The sequence below is a fragment of the Homo sapiens genome, chromosome 5 (genome assembly GCF_000001405.40).
Source record: "Homo sapiens chromosome 5, GRCh38.p14 Primary Assembly".
Lineage (NCBI taxonomy): Eukaryota > Metazoa > Chordata > Mammalia > Primates > Hominidae > Homo > Homo sapiens.
The window spans coordinates 21,557,524-21,578,424 of record NC_000005.10 but is presented as its reverse complement, the minus strand read 5'-3'; the positions used below and the strand labels follow the sequence as shown (position 1 = coordinate 21,578,424).

The following is a 20,901-nucleotide window of genomic DNA, read 5'->3' as shown; positions in this document are numbered from 1 at the left end:
ATTAAATCTATGATATATATTTTATTCTCAATTTATACTACGTTTACCTCCAAAAGGTATTTTAAACAACCAATAGCAGCCAAATATAACATAGCAAAGGAAAATAAATTTTAAAAATTGCTAAGGAGGCTGGGTGCGGTGGCTCACGCCTGTAATCCCAGCACTTTGGGAGGCCGAGGCGGGCGAATCACGAGGTCAGTAGATCGAGACCATCTTGGCTAACACGGTGAAACCCCGTCTCTACTAAAAATACAAAAAATTAGCCGGGCGTGGTGGTAGGCACCTGTAGTCCCAGCTACTCGGGAGGCTGAGGGAGGAGAATGGCGTGAACCCGGGAGGTTGAGCTTGCAGTGAGCTGAGATCGCGCCACTGCACTCCAGCCTGGGCAACAAAGCGAGACTCTCTCTCAAAAAAAAAAAAAAAAAAAAAAAAAAAAATTGCTAAGGAACCCAAAGGAAAAATAAAGACTATGAACACTAAATTAGATCAGAAAAAAATCGTTTAAAAATCCAGAGGTTATTATACTGTTGTCAGTAATGAATAAGTATTAATCAAATATCAATTTATTATCCAGTTTTACCATTAGGTAGGATTCCAGGGAAGAATGGCATAGGTAGAGTTGGGGTTGGAGGTGGGGGAAACTTGAGTTTGACCAGTGTAGAATATTCAACAAATAGCTCCCACCAGCATTGAGGAGGTAACAAGAGGAGGAATAAAGTTCAAAGCCAGTGTATAATTTACAACAAAATCATTCATCCAAAAAGATCAATAGAGAGTGGGAACCAAAGTAAGGAATAAGTTTGTGGTCTATAAAACTCAGAAAGCCTCATGCCTGTAATCCCAGCACTTTGGGAGGCCAAGGTGGGCAGGTCACCTGAGGTCGGGATTTCGAGATCAGCCTGACCAACATGGAGAAACCCCATCTCTACTAAAAATACAAAAAAAAATTAGCCGGGTGTGGTGGGCAGCCTGAAGTCCCAGCTACTCGGGAGGCTGAGGCAGGAGAATCGCTTGAACTCTGGAGGTGGGGGTTGCAGTGAGCCGAAATCATGCCATTGCACTCCAGCCTGGGCAACAGAGTGAGACTCCATCTCAAAAAAAAAAAAAAAAAAAAAAAAGAGAAGAAAAGAAAAAACAGGCCGGGGTGCGGTGGCTCACATCTGTAATCCCAGCACTTCGGGAGGCCGACTCTGGCAGATCACCTGAGGTCGGGAGTTCAAGACCAGCCTGACCAACATGGAGAAACCCCGTCTCTAATAAAATACAAAATTAGCCAGGCGTAGTGGCCTATACCTGTAATCCCAGCTACTCCGGAGGCTGAGGCAGGAGAATCGGTTGAACCTGGGGGGTGGAGGCTGCAGTGAGCCGAGATCTCACCGTTGCACTCCAGCCTGTGCGACAGAGCGAGACTCTGTCTTAAAAAAAACAAAAACAAAAAACAAAAAAACAAAAACAAAACACACACACACACCTCAGAAAGCAAAGTATTTCAATGTATGTAAAATGAAGATAGGTTTCAAGATGAATTGTCTTTTTATTCTTCTGCTTTGCAGATGTGCCTACTGGCTATCCTAGATCAACTGAAGAGAACAGACTTTGAGGGAAAAAACAAAGTTTTCTTTTCACAGTATTCTATTTTTTCTCCCCATGTCAACCACCACGAGAATGAACTGAATGGTACTGATAACTAGTTCTCTTGAATTCTCTGAAAGTTTTCTAGAAAATCGAAAGTTTATTTACAAATCTGAGTCCCAAAACAATGTATTTTAAGATGTGAAACACAAATACAGTTTGCCAGCCAATCTAACTAAAGAGATGTTACATTAGCTGCAGGATACAAACTGAACTTTTTGATATAAGCTGCAATTTTACCACTAGACCACAGCCAAAAAAGAAAATAAATCCTTATATTGACTTGAATGTTTATATAAGACCCATAATATATTTTTTAAAACATTCAACACAAGTGACACATAATATTGAATTTGGTTGATGTGCCTGTTTTTAATATACCTCAATATTAAGGAGTTTAAGGTCATGTCACCAAATGTTACTCAGTCATCAAAATGACAACATAAACCTGATTGGATCTTCAGTATCTTTTAAAATCTGTCTATGAGGTGGACACACATTTCTCAAAGACTTATTTAGTGGCAATTATATGTGTGCCTAGAGTTTGACATGCTGCTAAATGAAGTTGATTTTATGCCTCCTTGTACCTACATATCTAGTAGGGGAGGTAAACAAGGCAGTAGCCAGTTATAATATTTTTAGGAAGCAAGGAAAGGGGATTATGGAAACAAAATAACAATTATTTCTTCCATCCAGACTAGAAAACATATTTAATTTTCAGTCAGAAAGAATAATTTTCTCTCTTGTGGAATTACTATGATGGAAATGAATTCATAATTTAACTTTTGTTTGCTTTTTATCTGAGTCCACTGCAGCAAATTGACTCAACACTTTCTTTTGTCTTCAACGGGTTGTAGCTTATGCATACACAAACATAGAGTCATTCACATACATGTGTACATACAAAATTTTGAATGTGTTCTCCGAACTGGTATATCTCTTGATTGTTAGAATAAGCATCTCATGTGGACAGGAATTATAAATGAGAGAAAAAAGCTACATTGTCTCGAGACATTTCTGCATCTTCACACTTAGACAAACTGAAGCAAAATTACTTTATTTTAAAATGAAAAAATGTGTCAAGAATCATGAGTATGTATTGTCACTATACGAAGTTTAAATTACTACTTTATAAGCATAGGGCAATCCAGACTTTATAAAAGTATATTTGTATACATTCAATTGCCACCCAACTAACATGCGCAAATAAAAGAAGCAATTCACTTTCAATAAACTGGTGTTAAAAGGAAAAATTTAAACCTCATTGGGAAAACAAATGACTTAAAATACCAGCAAACATAAGTGGGATGATCATAGCAACAAATAAATCAAGTGGTCCAATATTCATTGTTTGCAGGAGTCGAAATAGTGTATATAATTACTAATTTATCACACACACACACAAATTCACCAGCTGAGAAAACTCCTATTATATCCAAACAAATTCAAACTTGAGGAAGCATAATCAGTTGGATCATAATGGACAAAATAAGTGTCTGCAATTCTATTCTCCTAAGGAAACAAACTTAATTATAGCTATTAAATCTGTGGGCTATAGTACCAAACAGAATGATGCCAGATGATTAGTTCTGGAAGTTTTTGTGCAGCTGTCACCGAGGGTCCACTTGATAGTGGCGGACTTGGTATTTTGTATGCGTGATAAACTGACATGTCAGAATTGACCTGAAAATATCTCTTGTAAATCTAAATAGGTTTGATATTTAGATATAGTACAGAGTCAGAAAGGGACAAAATGCCAACTCTAAAACTAAACAAAACATCTCAGAAATTTTAAAACGATTGTTAGAGACAGGAAAAAATGCCTTCTTTACTAATTGGAAGGGAATTATCTGTAGTTAAAAATCTACCTAGATGAAATCATTTTACAAACAACATGTAAAGTCCTGCTATGCTTGGAAAAAGATAGAACCAAAGAAAGTTTAACTATGCTACATAATCAATTAACATGATTTTGGGAATTAGGAGAATAAAGTGAAATAGAAGAGGTTTATCAGTCAATGCAGCTGGCCCTAAAAGAACAACTAATACGAGACTGTTGTTCAGCAGATAAGCAAAAAAATAAAAAAAGGTCAGACATTTTAAGTATGTTGCAATGCTTTGACGCAAAGCACTTCTATTGCTCCCAATTTTCATTCTTATCTAACACACGCCCATTAGTGTCTTAAGTAGTGATAATGTAGTAATAAGAAAAAAAGACTCGAGGGAAAAACTAATCTCTGCATCAGTTTGGGATAGAAAAAAAGTGGAAGGAAGTGAGTCTGACTACCTAGCTCTACCAGGATATATACAAGTGTTTGAAAATAATTTTATTTTCAAAATAAATGGCTGTATTTTCCCGTAACATTTGCTGATGTTTCTATAATGCTGTATTTCAGAAAATTGCGTGGCCGTCCTCCTGTGCCAAAAATGGAAGTCCTGTTAGACTCTTCTCCTTTCCTCGTGCATGTCTTATCAGTCAGATTGTACAATTTTATTTTCTAACATTTTCTTAAATTCATGCTCCTTGCTTTCTGCACAATATTCTTGCTCTGATCATTTTCTCATGTCTCCATGGATTAATGAAACAACAATGAAAAATATTTGCCTCTATACAGTGTTCACAAATCCCCCCCACCCCCTCCACCACCACAGCTGCCACATGAATTACCATGAATGGGAGGCTCAATAAGCAGCTCACTCTTCTGCTTAGAACCCTTTAGGGACTCATTATTTCCAAGTGCTCTTTTTCTGGACTGGGTTTTATGACTAGTTGAGTAAAGAGTGGGGTTATTCTATTCAGGCAAACGTCAAACTTGCAAAAAAATAGATTTAGAGAAAATTCATTCTCATGTTTGTTTTGTCTTTAAACTTTTTCCTGCTCTTCATCTTTTCTTTTCTTTCAGCACCAATTAATATTTCATGGATTCCTGCTTACAGGAACATTATTGTAGAAATATGCCCTGGCCTAGACTATAAATTCTAAGTTATTTAGAGTGACATAAAAGGAATCTTGCCTTTGGCTAAAAATCCAATTATATCTCCTTTTAAACTTGACATTATAATTTATGTTTTATTAATGAAAACTGTTTTCAATTCTCTGTGAAAAGGATGCTGTTTCATGAATCTCTAGCCTAAAAACTTATCTCTTTTTTCTCTGCCCCTCTTCCTTTATTTGATGAGCTCAGCACTGTCAAATTGAACTTTCTGCAATGAAATAAATTCTGTATCTCTTTGTAGCCATGAACAACATATGGCAATTGAATGCTTGACATGTGGATAGTATATCTCAAAGACTAAATTTTAATTATACATAATTATATATTTTATATAAATTTATATATATTATATATGTATATAAATTGCCAAAGCCACCTCAAACTTTAGCAACCACCATCCTGATCAGTCAGCAGCCATCAACTTGAGGCAAGACCTTCCACCAGCAAAAAGACTTTCTGAAGGCTTAGAAAATTGTTGGCATTTTTTAAGCAATAAAGTATTTTAAATAAAGGCATGTACAGTGTTATTTTAGACACAATGCCATTGCACACACACATACACACATCTCTTTATATATATAGTCTGTATATATGTGCTTTGTCTGTACATACATATATACACATATACAGGCATAGCACAGATATAATGTGGGTTCAGTTCCAGACTAGTATACTAAAGCAAACATTGCATGGTTTCCCAGTGCATATAAAAGTGATTTTGACATTATACTATAGTCTATTAACTGTGCAATAGCATTGTGTCTTAAATAACACTGTACATACCTTTATTTAAAATACTTTATTGCCTAAAAATGCTATTCTAAGGCTTCAGAAAGTCTTATTGATGGTGGAAGGTCTTATGTCAAGTTGATGGCTGCTGACTGATCCGGGTGGTGTGCTAAAGGTTCAGATGGCTTTGGCAATTAAAAAAAAACAACAGTAAGGAAGTTTGCCACACCAATTGAATCTTTCTTTCAGGAAATATTTCTCTGTAGCTTCTGATGCTGTTTGATCGCATTTTTATCCGCAGTCAGACTTCTTTCAAAATTGAGGTCAATCCTCTCAAACTCTACCGCTGCTTTATTAACTAAGTTTATGTAATATCTTAAATCGTTTTTGTAATTTCAACAATGTTCACAGCATCTTCACCAGAGGTAGATTTCAATGCAAGAAACTGCTTTCTTTGCCATCCGTAAGAAGCAAATTTTTCATCCTTTAGTTTTATTAGGAGATTGAAGGAATTCAGTCACATCTTCAGGCTTTACCTCTAACTAGAGTTCTCTTGCTATTTCTACCACATCTGCAATTACTTTCTCCATTGAAGTCCTGAACACTCAAAGTCATTCAAAAGGGTTGGAATGTACTTCTTCCAAACTCTGGTTAATATTTGTATTTTGACTTCTTCCGATGAGTCAAGAATGTTCTTACTGGCATCCAGAATGGTGAATACTTTCCAGAAGGTTTTCAATTTGCTTTGCCCACATCCAAGAAAAGAATCACTATTTATGGCAGCTATAGCCTTACAAAATGTATTTTTAAGTAATAAGACTCAAAAGTCAAAATTACTCTTTGATCCATGAGCTGCAGAATGGATGTTATGTTAGCAGGCATAAACAACCTTAATCTCTGTATAGATCTCCATGAGAGCTCTTGGGTGACCAGGTGCCTTGTCAATGAGCAGTAATATTTTGAAGGAGCCTTATTTTTTCCTGAGCAGTAGATCTTAAGAGTGGGCTTAAAATATCCAGTTAACCATGCTGTAAACAGATGTGCTGTCATGCAAACTTTGTAGTACAATTTGTTGGGCACAGGCAGAGTAGATATAATGTAATTCTTAAGGAACCTAAAATTTTCAGAATAGTCAACAAGCTTTGGCTTTAACTTCAAGTTACCAGCTGCATCAGCCTCTAACAGGAAAGTCAGCCTGTCTTTTGAAGCTTTGAAGCCAGACACTGATTCTGTAGCTATGAAGGTAGCCATGTAGATGGCATCATATTCTGTAGTTATGAAGGTAGCCATGTAGACAGAATCATAAACCAATAGAAAGCTGTTTTCTTTACATTGAAAATCTATTAGATTAGCCATCTTCATCAATGAACTTAGCTAGAACTTCTGGATAATCTGCTGCAGGCTCTACATTAGCCCTTGCTGCTTCCTCTTGCATTTTTATGTTACGGATATGAGTTCTTGCCTTAAACTTCATAAACCAATCTCTGCCAGCTTCCAACGTGTCTTCTGCAGGTTCCCCACCTCTCTCAGCCCTCACAGAATTGGAGAGAGTTTGGGCCTTGCTCTGGATTAGGCTTTGGCTTAAAAGAATGTTGCACTGGTTTGCTTCTTTTTTTACAGACTACTGAAACTTTCTCCATATGAGCAACAATGCTGTTTCACTTTCTTATCATTTATGTGTTCACTGCAGTAGTACTTTTAATGTTTTCAAGAACTTTTCCTTTGCATTTACATTTTGGTTAACTGTTCTGTGCAAGAGGCCTAGCTTTCAGCCTATCTTGGTTTTCAACAAGGCATCCTCACCAAACTTAATCATTCCCAGCTTTTGATTCAAAGTGAGAAAGATGTGACTTCCTTTTATTTGAATATTTAGAGGCCATTGTAAGGCTATTTATTGGCCTCATTTCAATATTGTTGTGTCTTAGGGAATAGGAGGGCTTGATGAGAGGGAAAGAGACAGGGGATGAGCTGGTCGGTGGAGCAGTCAAAACCCAGACAACTTTTATCAACGCGTTCACTGTGTTATATGGGTGTGGTTTGTGATGCCTCAAAATAATTACAATAGAAATATCAAAGATCACTGACGAAAGGTCACCCAAACCAATATAATAATAATGTAAAAGTTTGAAATATTGTGAGAATTACCAAAATGTGACAGAAAGACACAAAGTAGATACATATGATTGGTAAAATGGCTCTGATAGACTTGTTTGATGCAAGGATACTATAGACCTTCCATTTGTAAGAAAAAAAAAAGAAAAAAAAATCTGCAAAGTGCAATAAAGTGAAACACAATAAAATGGGGTACACCTGTGTTTAGAATCTAATCTACTATGTATTCTTACACGAATAGTCCATGATTTGTAGGCAGCAGTCTAAATCAGAAGATGATAGGGCTGGTGAAGATGCTGTAGCATTAACAAACATCTCTTAACAGGACTTTTGTGTTGGTGGTAAACATTTCTGCACATAAGAAAAATCGAGGCAAAACAATACTGTGCATTATCTAAAATGGTCATAAAATTATTTCTGCTGTTCTCTCTGTTGAGGGCAACACATTAGGCCCATTTACCAAAGGACCTTGATGTAGAGGGCTTTCAGTTCTAGAAAAGGTCATTTTATTCCATAAGAATTTCTTCAGAATGACTATAATTTGCCTTGGCCAAATTGTATTGTAAGCTCACAGATTTACAATTGCTGAGGACTTCCAATGGTCTCTGACATTATTTGTTATCTAAAAACTTCATCTTTATCAATTAGTGTTTCAGAAGATTAAGTCTTAATGATATGAATTGTATTATATAAGTTCCTAAAAGATATGAAATTTTGAAGGGTAATTTCAGTGTCAGTCTAATTACACTTTTAATTCTCATATATTTCCAGGCAATTAAATTTAATTTTTAAAGTTCTGCTTCTTTGGTCACTTTATATGTAATGTAAAAATCTTTGTAAATTAAATTGAAAGTTTTAACTGGAAACCATTTAACTGGAAACCTAATATTCAAATAAAATAATGCATGAGTAGAGCCCAATCCACTTTATTTGATAACAGTTGCACTTAGCAAATGCATTTATGAAAATAATGCAAGCTTTAACAGTATATACAGTAAAATAAGATAAAATAAGCTTTAGTGTACGCATTGCCCAACCTCAACAACTCATTGTCAGTCTTGTTTCCACTATGTTCTCATTTTCTTCCCAACCTACAAGATTCATTTTGGAAGAAATCCCAGGCATATCTTTTCATTTAAAAACATTCAGAATACATCTCTAAATTACTATCATTCTTTAAAATAACTAAAATGTTATTAACCTTGATTTTAAAATTAACTGTAACTGCATCAATGGTCAGTGTTCAAATTTTCTTATCTGTCTCGTAATATTTTTATTCATATTACAATACAAACAAATCTATACTTTGCAAGTGGATGATATTTGTACGTCTTTTTCTCCGTCACCTCTGTTTCCCTCTAGTTATGAATACAAATTAAAACACAACATACTAAAACATGGAATGCGGCAGAGATGCTCCTGAGAAGTAAATTTATAGTAGTGAATGCCTACATTAAAGAACATACAGATTTCAAATAAATACTTAATCTTATACAATAAACAACTAGATTATCAGGAAAAAAAAATGAGACCCAAAGCTCCCAGAAGGAATGAAATAATAAAGATAAAGTTTAAAAATGTATTCAAATGAAATATAGAATGGAAAAACAATAGAGAAAATCAATGAAGACAAACGTATATTTTTTTGAAGAGACGAACAAAATTGACAAATTTTTAGCTAGATTGACAAAAAAAAGGAGAAGATTCAAATAACAAATTGGTAACAAAAGAGGGGACATTACTATTGACATTACAGAAATTTTTAAATATTTTAGAAATTTCCATATATAATTTTATATGTCAAAAATTAGGTAAACTAGATGAAATGGACAAATTCCTAGAAACAAATAAATTACCAAATTGACTCAAGAAGTGGAAAATCTGAACACATTTAGAATAAGCAAAGAGATTGAATCAATATTAGAAAACCTCTTAACAAATAAAAGTTCATGACCAGATGGTTTCAATTTGTTAACTTTACTAAACATATAAAGAAAGCTACTACCAATCCTTCTCAAACTCTTTGATAAAAGACAGAACCCTTTCTAACTCATTCTATGAGACCAGCATTACCCAAGCACTACAGCCAGATAAAGACTTCATAATAAAGGAAAACTAACAGACCAACATCACTTATGAATGTAGATATAAACATTCTCAAATACTAGTAAACCAAATATAACCGCATATTATATAGATTATATACTGCAGCCAATTGGGATTTATCTCAGGGATGCAAATTTGATTCAACATGAGAAAACCAATCAGTGTAATACACCACATTCATTGAATAATAAAAACAACAATTGATTATCTCAACTTATCCTGCACAAAAAATCCCATACTCTTCCATAATAAAAACATTAAATAAGCAGAAATAGAAAGTAACTTCCTCAATATGATCAAGCCCATATTTTAAAAATCCACAGCTAATACAATTGTTGTGGTGAAAATCTGAAAGCTTCCCCTAAGATCAGGAAAAAGACAGGGATGCACACTTTCACCACTGTACTAGAATTTCTACCCAGGGAAATTTAAAAAGAAAAGGAAATAAATGTCATTCAAATTGGGAATAATATAGTACAACTTTTTCTACTGGCAGATGGCATGATCCTAAATACAGAAAATCTAAAAAAATACACAAAAAAGCTACTAGAATTAATAAATAAAATCATCAGCATTTCAGGATACAAGATCAACAAGCAAAAATCAGTAGTGTTTCAAAATATACTAGAAATTAAAAATTTAAATTTAAAATTAAAAAAAACTATGATAGTGGCATCCAAAACAAGGAAATAACTAGAAATAAATTTGGTTATGTCTAGTGGGGTGTGTGATGGTGGTCATTAAAGATTTGTATACTGAATTTTTTTAATTGCTAAGAGAAATTAAAGAAAATCCAAATAAGTAGGAAAAATATCTTGGGTTCATTGATGTGAGACTTCATATTTATTAAGATGTCATTACAACCAAAAGTGATCTACAGAGTCAATGTAATCTCTATCAAAATTCCAATGGCCTTTTTTTGCAAAATGTAAAAATCAAATATCAAACTCATATGGAATTGCAAGAGGCACAAGATAAACAAAACAATCTTTAAAAAAAATTGAGGACTCACACTTCCCTGTATCAAAACTTACTATAAAACTATAGTAATCAAAGCAATGTAGTGCTGGCCTAAGGACAGACATACCAATGTAATAGAATTGGGAGTCCAGGAATAATTCCATATGTTTATGGTCAGATGATTCAAAAATCAAGAGGGCCAAATGACTAAATGGGAAAAGGAAAGTCTCTTCAAAAATAATGTTTAGACAACTGAATATCTACATGCAAAAGAATAAAACTGGACTCCTACCTCACAACATATAAAAAATTAACTGAACATGTATCATTGCCATAAATATAAGCACTAAAACCATGAAAGCCATAGAAGAAAACATGATTAAATCCAAATGACCTTAGATTTGTCAATGAATTCTTTAGCTATAAGACCAACAAAATTAAGCAATAAAAGAAAAAAAACAGATAGTTGTATTTCATCAAAATTAAAACACTTTGGGCATTAAAAAAAAAAAACATGTATTGTTTTTCTAGGTTTCCTAAGACAAAATGCTACAGACTGGGTAGCTTAAACAATATAAATTATTTTCTTATAGTTTTGGAAACAGGAAGTCCAAGGTCAAGGTGTCTGCAGGTTTAGTTTCTCCTGGGGCCTCTCTTTTTGGCTTTCAGATGGTCACTTTCTCATTGTCTTCACATAGGTATTCCCCTATGAGTAAATCCATGGCTCTTCTTCCTCTTCTTATAAGGACACCATTCCTATCAAAGATCCCACAGGTATAACCTCATTTAACCTTAAATTCCCTAACTTCAAATACAGTAACATTCTGGGTTAGGGTTTCAACATACACATATAGAGTAACACATTTCACGTTATCAAGAAAATGATAACCTAGAGAAGAGGAGAAAATGTTTGCAAATCATATTTCTAATAAGTGCCTCATACCCAGAATATACAAAGAATACGTACAATCAACAACAAAAAGACAAACAACCCAATTTAAATAAATAAATCATGGACATGGGTAGACATTTCTCCAAAGATATACAAATGGCCAATAAACACATGAAAAGATGTTCAGTGTCATTAGTTATTAGACAAATGCCAATCAAAACCACACAAAGTTACTACTATCAAACCTGCAAAAGTGGCTATAACTAAAAACATGGAAAATAATTATTGATGTAGATCTGAAGAAACTGGAGCCCTCCTTAATCACTGGTGGTAATGTAAATCATTCAGCCTCTGTGAAAATCAGTCTGAAATTCCTCAAAAAGATGAACATAGAAGTAACCATATGACCCTCACAATTCCACTCCTAGAATAGAAAACTATGTGCACACTCATGTTCACAGTAGTGCTATTCACAATAGCCAGTGGTGAAAACAGTCCAAATGCCCATCAATGGTTAAATAGATAGACAAAATGTGATATACACATAAAATGGAATATTATTTGGGATATTATTCACCCATGAAAAAGAAATTACTGAGACATGTATAACATGGATGTACTGCCAAAACATGTTAATTAAAAGAAGCTATATAAAAAGGACACATGTGAGTATATTTACATAAAATATCCTAAAATCCATAGAGAAAGTGTTCAGATTGGTGGCTGTCAAGGAGTGAGTAGGATGAGAAACTGCTTAATGGTTGTTTTAAAATTTCATCTGATGGAATTGTTTTGGAACTAGATAGAGGTGGTGGTTGCACAACACTGTAAATGTACCAAATGCCACTGAATTGCTCACTTTAAATGGTGAATTATATGTTATAAAATTTTCACCTGAATAGGTTATTTTTTAAAAAAGCAGTGAGATTTCTTCTAATTAACCATTTTATGGAAAATATAAATGAGAAGTATCTCTATTCACATATGGCTCCTGAATCCCAAAGGAAAACCAAGTGCTAAAATACAATAAATAGTTTGTGAAAAGTAATCTGTGCAGACTCATATTTATAAATTCACTAAAAACCATCACAGGAACAAAATTCATATTTCATTTTAAAAAATCAATACTTCTCAAAATTTAGAAAAAAGAGGAACTCTTTCTAATCTCAGTGGAAAAGGAGCTCTACACAACCACACTCAATCAGAAAATACATTCAGGAAGTAAAATGACTTGTGCTCCTGGAATTAGATGAAAATGGATTCTGGATCAATGTTAGAATTGTGTTGTCTTCATGCAAAGGACTCTTCTATAATTTTGCAAAGCTAGTTTCTAGCATGATTTACCTGGAGCTTTTTTGTATATTTTGCTAGTGAGAGGCCTTATGTTTAGAGAGTATTGTTACCAGTTTATGGTCATTTACAAAATTAAGAGAACTTTTTTTCTGGAATTCAATTTTCTGTCCCTAGGATGTGCATCTCTTCATCATCAGACAAATAGACTTAAAGCCAACTCATTGTTACTCTCGTCATCAATAAAAGAAGAAGAAGTAAAGAAGGTAAAGGTAAAGAGGATGTAAAAGTTATCATTTCAGGACCTTTTCCAAAAGTTTTCACATAACGCCACTGTTTACATCTGACTTTCCATTATGTGGACACATGAACACATCTAGTTGTAAAAAAATCCTATTATTTGTCATTGTCACCATTACATGTGCCCATGTACCTAGGAAGAAATCAATGTCCAAATGTAGGGGGATTGGCACTGGGATAGGCAAACAGCAGCCTTTACCCATAGTCTGCTCCTTTGGTTACCAATATATCCATGGATATCCATTTTCCTGTATATAGAACACATTTGTCTGCTCCCCAAGGAGAAGAGTTAGTATGCCATCCATTACTCACATCTATTTGCAGCCAAGTGTTCACAATCACTGAGTAACACGCAGTTCTTTCTACTAGATGCAGATAAGAGATTGCAGTATCCTGAAACTAGATGCAGATAAGAGGTTGCAGTATCCTGAAACCTGCAAACTGAGACACTAGTTACTTGCACCATACACATGTAATAAAATGATGATATAAGAATACATATTTCATTGAGAAAACCTGGGAAACACATTAGCTGATAGCCAGTTGGAATTAGCAAATAATGTTCAGCATAAAAAATAGAGACTCTACTTCAGTAGTAGGGCAAGTTTTCTGTTTAGACTACACTCTAAGCTTTTGATTCTTCTCTTTGGGAGGATATCCTTTCTCCATTGTACTTTGTGACCTCTTCATCATGTGTTATACATTTGCCTTTGGGTGCACATTCTTGAGGGACATAGAGATTTCATAGCCCATTTCATGCTGATGAAATCTGGACATGCTATAACATGGATGTACCGTCATGGGGATTCCTTAAGGCTTTTAATGTTGGGTCCAATAATTGGGTCCAATTCAGATTTATTTTTCAATAAAATTTCTTGAAAAATGTAGTAAATTTCTATTTGCTTCTAGTCAATTATATACGCAAATAATCACAATCAAAGTCTTTGTCTAAACAGATTTTTTTTTAAGTGTGAAATCTTCCTAAATACTTATTTTAGCCTCTTGGCTCTGGCCATCCTCCTTGTAATGTGGATGCCATCTTTATTACCAAGCTCATAATCTTTACAGAGGGGGATGCAAGTCTACGAAATTTGTGGCTATGCAGACACTCTCTCTTTGGTTACAAGTTGAGATAACAGTGAAGTTAGATATTTCAACCCTGAAAGTTTTAGAATCTCCTATTGTAGATTTCAGGCAGAGAAAGGCTCCTTTAGCAAAGCTCTGTTTTCTTTCTCTCTTTGTATTCCATCTACCCTAGGCATCAATCACTCAATCATTTGTAGGATTTTTCTAATAGATTCAAGAAATAGCACCAATAAAATTTCAAAACTAAGCAATTATTTTTCCTAATACTATATCCTAAGTTAATATGTAATTTGTCTTCCAAGGTGAAAAGATAACTTATTCAATAAAACATGACAAGGGTCACCTGCTTTCCTATCTGTGATATACATGCTCCTACCTCCCACCACCCTACTAATTACACAAACCAATTACATGGCTTAGTTTTCTTGAAAAATAGCTCTACTGGTACCATATTCTACAATCGTATGTGTTATATTTGGCTGTGAATAATAGAAACACAATAATAGTGGCTTAAAATCTAGAAGTTTATTTCACTCTTACAGTAATATTCACATGTAAGCAATCAAGTCAGCCATGAATCAAGCTACTTTCTACTTCCTTCTCTATCGTGGCCATCATAGATCTCACCCTTATGATCCAACATGAAACTCTGGCCTTCACATTGGCTAATTGCAAACAGCAGTGTAGATGATGCAGCAATACACTTCGGGAGCTCTGTAGAAAATTTCTCAGGAGGAATTGTTATGTAATAGTTCTACTTTCATCCTTTTAGTCACATGCCACTACTCAATGCAAAGATGAGAAATGTATCTTTCATTTCAGTTGGCCATGACATCAATTAGAAATTAGTGGTGTTGTTTGGAGGAAAATTCCATAGGGAAGACAGCTGGCAGTCTCTGCATAGATTTCTTCATTGTTCTTTAAATCTGCCGTATTGTACAATCATTTTAACAATTAATGAAATAACCTTGATATTAGGAGGCTGTAAAAGGAACTTGACCCACCTGACTTTGTACTTTTTGAAATGCATTTCTATTTTATAACTTTTATCCATCACCGCGCCCTGTTTCTTGTGATATTTCATGGGTCTGACCTCAAACATAAGGAGAATATTAATCAAATGATCTTGATTATTCAGTTGGCAAATATTAAAGGCAGATGTAACATAGATTGAAAAAAATGAATTTTTATATGAACAAATGGAGACTGAGTTATTTAACTAGATCTTTGCTGATGTGATGTAAAACAAAGAAAACAGAGATAAAAACAATGTTTAATATACAATTTAATTATTCTTTACCCAGTAAGAAATAAAAATTAATTTCTCGATATGTAAGTGCAAATTGACAATTTTCTGTGGTTATTTAGAATATATACGTATGTTATAAACAGTGAGATTATTGGCAGATAGAACTTAACTTTCTCGAGTTAAGCATTTATTGCATATGCAATCTGTGACAAATGCTATAATAGGTAGCAGAGCTCATATGGACCAACATATACATGTGCCTGCCTTTTATCATCATTTTTACATGTGGTTCAAGGTGCGCTTTTTGACTCTATGTCCCCAACATGCTGCCTCCAAACAGTTTCTTAAAAAGTTCTGTTACTATTAAATTGCATGAAATCTTAGAACTTCATATAGTGCTTCCATGAGGGAATCCCTCTCTTGCATTAACGAGGAAACTAATCTTCTTCCAAATCTTCAATCCTGAAAATATGAGTCCAGAAATTTGAAAATTATAAAAAATTATTGTAAGCTTAGCTATCAATATAGAGAGGTTGATGGACCAAGAAATTCACTGACATCAAATAAAAAGCAAAAACAGGAAGTCTAACAGGCAGGACTAACAGGCTAAGCTCACCCTTTCTGGGAAGCTGGAAAGGATCACCTAACAGAGACGCAGTCAGAATCTAGTCAGTTTTGCTTGCAGCCTTTGCACTATTACAAGAGTGGGATCCAGGCCCGCTTTGCTGCTAAAAGCGAGTCAATTTTTTTTGTGTGTGAATAAAACCAATAGTAATAGATTTGTGCAGGTAGCATTTTTTATAAAAACCTATGAGTGGTGTTCCAAGAAATAAGTTTTGGAAGCAAAATATGACCTTAATTAGGCAATTCTGCATATGAGTATGTGTAGGAGGCTAATGCTGCTAAGAGATGCCAATGTTGCAATAATCAAACACTATCTTGAGTGTTTCCTGGAACTTTCAAGAATTTGGGTATTACCTGTAGACTATAATTTTTTGTAGATACTATTAAATATAATTTATTAAGCATTCTTGATATCCATGTTAACGAGTAGAATATAAAGAACACTGAAAATATTTAAGAATAATTTATGATTTTGTGATTCTCTGATAATTTGGGAATTCTGATATCTCCTCCATGAATCCTTAAAATTAGTATCTGTCAGGAATTTGAGACACCATGAACTCCTCTGTAATTTCTGTTAGACTATAATTCTGGTAGACCGCAGTTATCATTTGTTTGCAGCCTTCCCAATCTCTTCTCTAATTTGAATAACTCTATTTTCTATTTAAGAAATGGCCCTTTTGCCATTGCACATGGTCTTCACCTGATTAACTGTCATTTCTCATTTCCGTGACCACAGAGGATAGGTCAATGCCCCACCTGTGGCAGATCATGCCTGACTCAAGCATGATCTACCATGCCTTTCCCTGGATGCCGAACTTAGCATCAGGTTCCTTCCAGAGCCAATACTGAGACAATACCAATAGAAATAAAAGTTTAAAACCAGAGGAACAACTGGCCTGAGTATACAGATTTTGCCTTTTTGAGAGATAGCAGCTACAGCAATGAGCATACTGTCTTGTTTCCCACACTCTCCCGAGGCCCATGAGTGAAAATCTCAACACTCCATAGCACCAATAGTGTTCTGTTAGTTGAGTGAATGAGGGAGAGAGTATAATGATTGGCAAGATGATGACCAAGAACATATCCTTGAGAAACTGTATTATGAACCCAATTTAAGATTGATATTGGTGTAATCTCTCATTTATAACATAAAAATATTTCCATAGCAAGTAAAATAAAATTTTGTCTGTGTGTATATTCATTTTCTTTCCACTTGCTGGAAATGAAATCAAGTCCAAGAAAGAATAATATTGAAGCTAAATTGATTATTGCATATACAAAGTTATTCCAATTGCTAAAAGTAATTTCAGGAGTATGTTTGAGTAATGAATGTCTCTCTTTTTAGCCTGACTATATCCATAATAAAATATCACTAAACATATCTCTATTAATGCATTTTCTTCTTAAAAGATTGAGGAATTAAACTGGATGTGGTTAATGAAACTTACTTTAATCCATCTTGTAAAACACACTGATAAAAATCTGTTAAATTCCTCATTTAAAATATCACACGTATTTCATTTAGCTACTACGCTCCTGAACTTTTTATTCACAAACTAAATTAAAAGTAATAATAAATTAAACTAGTCTATAGCTTTAAAAGAAGAAAACTAATATGATTTTTTGTTCAGTTCCCATATGTTCTTAAGTATTGCCGTTTGTCATAAATTTCATGTTTTCCTTAATTAACTCTATAAATAACATATTAAAGTGAAATACTTGATGAAAATTAAAATTAAGGACTTGTAAAAGCTATACCTGTCTAACGGTTTGTCAGCTAAATTATACCTTCTACCATAGGTGTCAGTATGATGCCTCAGTTGTGTTTCAAAATTAGAAAAACAAAAGACTAAAAAGACTAAAAGCTCTTTTTTTTTGAGATGGAGTCTCCCTCTATTGCCCAGGCTGGAGTGCAGTGGTGCAACCTCGGCTCACTGCAACCTCCACTTACCAGGGCTCAAGCAATTATCCTTCCCTAGCTTCCCGAGTAACTGGGGCTACAGGCACCCACTTGGCTAGTTTTTGTATCTTTAGTAGAGACAGGGTTTCACCATGTTGGCCAAGCTGGTCTGCAACTCCTAAACTCAAGTGCCGCCTTGGCCTCCCAAAGTACTGGGATTATAGACGTGAGCCACCATAGCTGGCCTAAAAACACTCTTTTTAAGAGAAATGCTATAAGTTAATACTTCGGTCATGTTACTTCTTCTTTTCTCTTTATAATTCATATACACCTTTAAAGAAATATTTGAAGCCTGACTTCACCTATGACTCTAGGCCTTATTTTCATCTTACTAGTAGTGCCACATAACAGAGTTTGCTTCTAAAATTATAAATTATTTTTTAATTTTTCCTCTTTGTAGCTCTCCAATTATATTCCCAACTATTTGAAGACACTGACTTAGGTAAATATTATTTAAGAATCTCCATTGTGTCTGATATAAAACATAAAAATATACTTCTTAAAATAGAAGTATTATAGAAATACTATAGTAAAATAAAAGTATAATATAGAATACGTTATGGGTGATTTTAAATAATGTTGAAACAGGAAAATTATTTTTCAATATTAGAAAATCCCAGAAGTCATGAAGATTCATAATTTTGTCTATATAACATTTTTAAATCCCTCATTTGGAAAAAATTATAAATAATTAGAATAAAGTATAAATGATGGTTTGGAAAAATATTTGCAATTATCTCAGAAACCAAAGGGCAACTTTCCATAATACAGATTTTTAAAAATATTATACATTACTGAGAAAAAGAATAAATTTACCAATTACAAAATTGGTGAAGGGAAAAAAATAATTGGGCCTTTAGTAAATAAAAATGATATTTATGATCACTCCTAATAAAATAGATGCAAATAAAAACTATAGTAAAATATAGCTATTTTAAGAAGTAAATGATTAGCAAAGACAGAAAAACGTGGTAACAGATAACAAAGTTTAACACAATTTAAAATAGTAAACTTTCCCTCAGCTGCTCTTCACATGCCAATTTAAAAGAAAAATTTACTCCATAGCACCTATCAACATCGAACATACTACAGTCTATTGAAATAAGCTGCACATAACAAGTGTCACATAGCCTACATAAGCACAGTTTTTCAACTTTGAGGCTCCACCTTTCTCTAGATTAGTCATGAGCTTCAGGCCCTGGGGCCAGGAATGACAGTGCTTCTATGCCAGGCCTTCTCCTCCTCCTTCACTCCCGTCTTCCTTCTTTCCTCTGTCTTCTTTTTCCTGTTCATCTTCAACTTTATCTCCTTCCTCTTCCTTATCCACATCTGCTTTGCATAAAACTCTTTTGTCAAACTGGTGAGAAACAAAGCTTCCTTGAAAAAATTATCCACAAAATGCAAAGCTCATTGATAATGTAAAAAGTTAAATTCTAAAACTCTGTGTTGAGGTGAGACACAGATTTTCATTTTCTTTTATTGTTTTATGGCATAAAATAATTCTATCAGGGAAGGAAGAAGATAGATGGCTGCTGTAGTTGTGCTGGTATAATCTGGACTAGAACTCAATAGTTTATAAATGTGAAGTTAACTTACAAGCAACATTCTAGTGAGTCTGCTGTCAGTAGAACTCATGGTAACTCTGATAATTTTAATGATCATAAAAGTGAGGTAGGAAACAAATATGACCATTGTGTTTAGAAACCATGATCCTTCAAAACTTGTATTTCTTCCTAAATAAATACTAATAGGGACTAAAAAATTAAAATTGGTAGTGAAGTCTTTACCAATTTATGTGATCAGTGGTATTCTCTTAATATTAACATAAATCTTTATTGATTCATTAGACATTTTTAGTTTTAAATAAAATGATCAGAAATGTCAGCAAGGGCTATGGGAAAAAAGGGCTGGGTAAGAAAATTTGAAGTCTCACCTAACTGGAATGTAGCAATTGCAGATAGATTGGTTGGGATTTATTTTATATGAAATATAAAATATATAAAGGCCACTCTGGTCACTTACATAAAATACTCAGCAGAAGCCCTACCACTTTATAATAATTCAGTAAGTGTTAACATCTTATAACTAAGGTATCATTCAATTCTAAAATCATCTAAGGAACTTTTGAAATGGATGTAGTGCGTATATTTCCAGGTTAAAAATGAAGCATTTTTAAAAAAATTACTTTTATTTATTTTAACTCCTTTGAAGTACTCTTTGAAAACAATAGAAGTAAGGAAGAAATTTTGGGATAGAACAGAAAGGAATAAACTAAACAACCAACGGAGTTACTGGAAAGAGTTCACCTGTAACCAGATAAGGTCCGCTCTCAGACCAAAAACTTGCTGTGTTCTACCTCCCTCTCAACTCTTTCTAGGTGCTCTTCTGTTCTGTTTTCATAATCTCACCTTCAGTATTATCAAATATTGTCACAGAATGGCTGGACTCTCAGCTCAACTCCACCCTCTAACCTAGAACCTCGGCTCTAAGTGAAAACAGCTGACCCCATTTTTCGGCCCAAATGATTGCCCTTTTGGCCTGCCCCGCCCCCTATCTTGTGAGTATAAAAAGACTTCAGCTGGCCAAGCAATAGAAGCAGCTGGTGCAACAGGTTGGGGATGCAGGCTGCTGAGTGTTGAGGATACAAGCGGCTGAGCATCTCAGACTACAGACAGACGGAGCTAACTTCAGAGGGTGCGGCTTCAGGGAAAGATCACTTTCTTCCCGCACCATCCCCTTTCCAACTCCCCATTCCACTGAGAACCACATCCATTGCCCAGTAAAATCCTCTGCATACACTACCCTTCAATTAGTGACCTGATTCTTTCTGGACCCCGAACAAGAAATGGGTGCCAAGAGGGCAGGGGATTGGATGCTGCTGTGGAACGCATAGAGCCTGCTCCTACCAGAGAGAAGCAGCTAGCTGATTCCAGTGTTCCTTTCTTCTGGTTCCTGCACTTGC

At 34.5% G+C, this 20,901-nt stretch overlaps 1 pseudogene across 1 annotated transcript in view; it reads right to left on the bottom strand.

The window, feature by feature from the left end:
• Positions 1–20,901, bottom strand: part of GUSBP1 (GUSB pseudogene 1) — a 129,860-nt pseudogene that overhangs the window by 10,948 nt on the left and 98,011 nt on the right. The gene's annotated exons all lie outside the window — the stretch shown is intronic.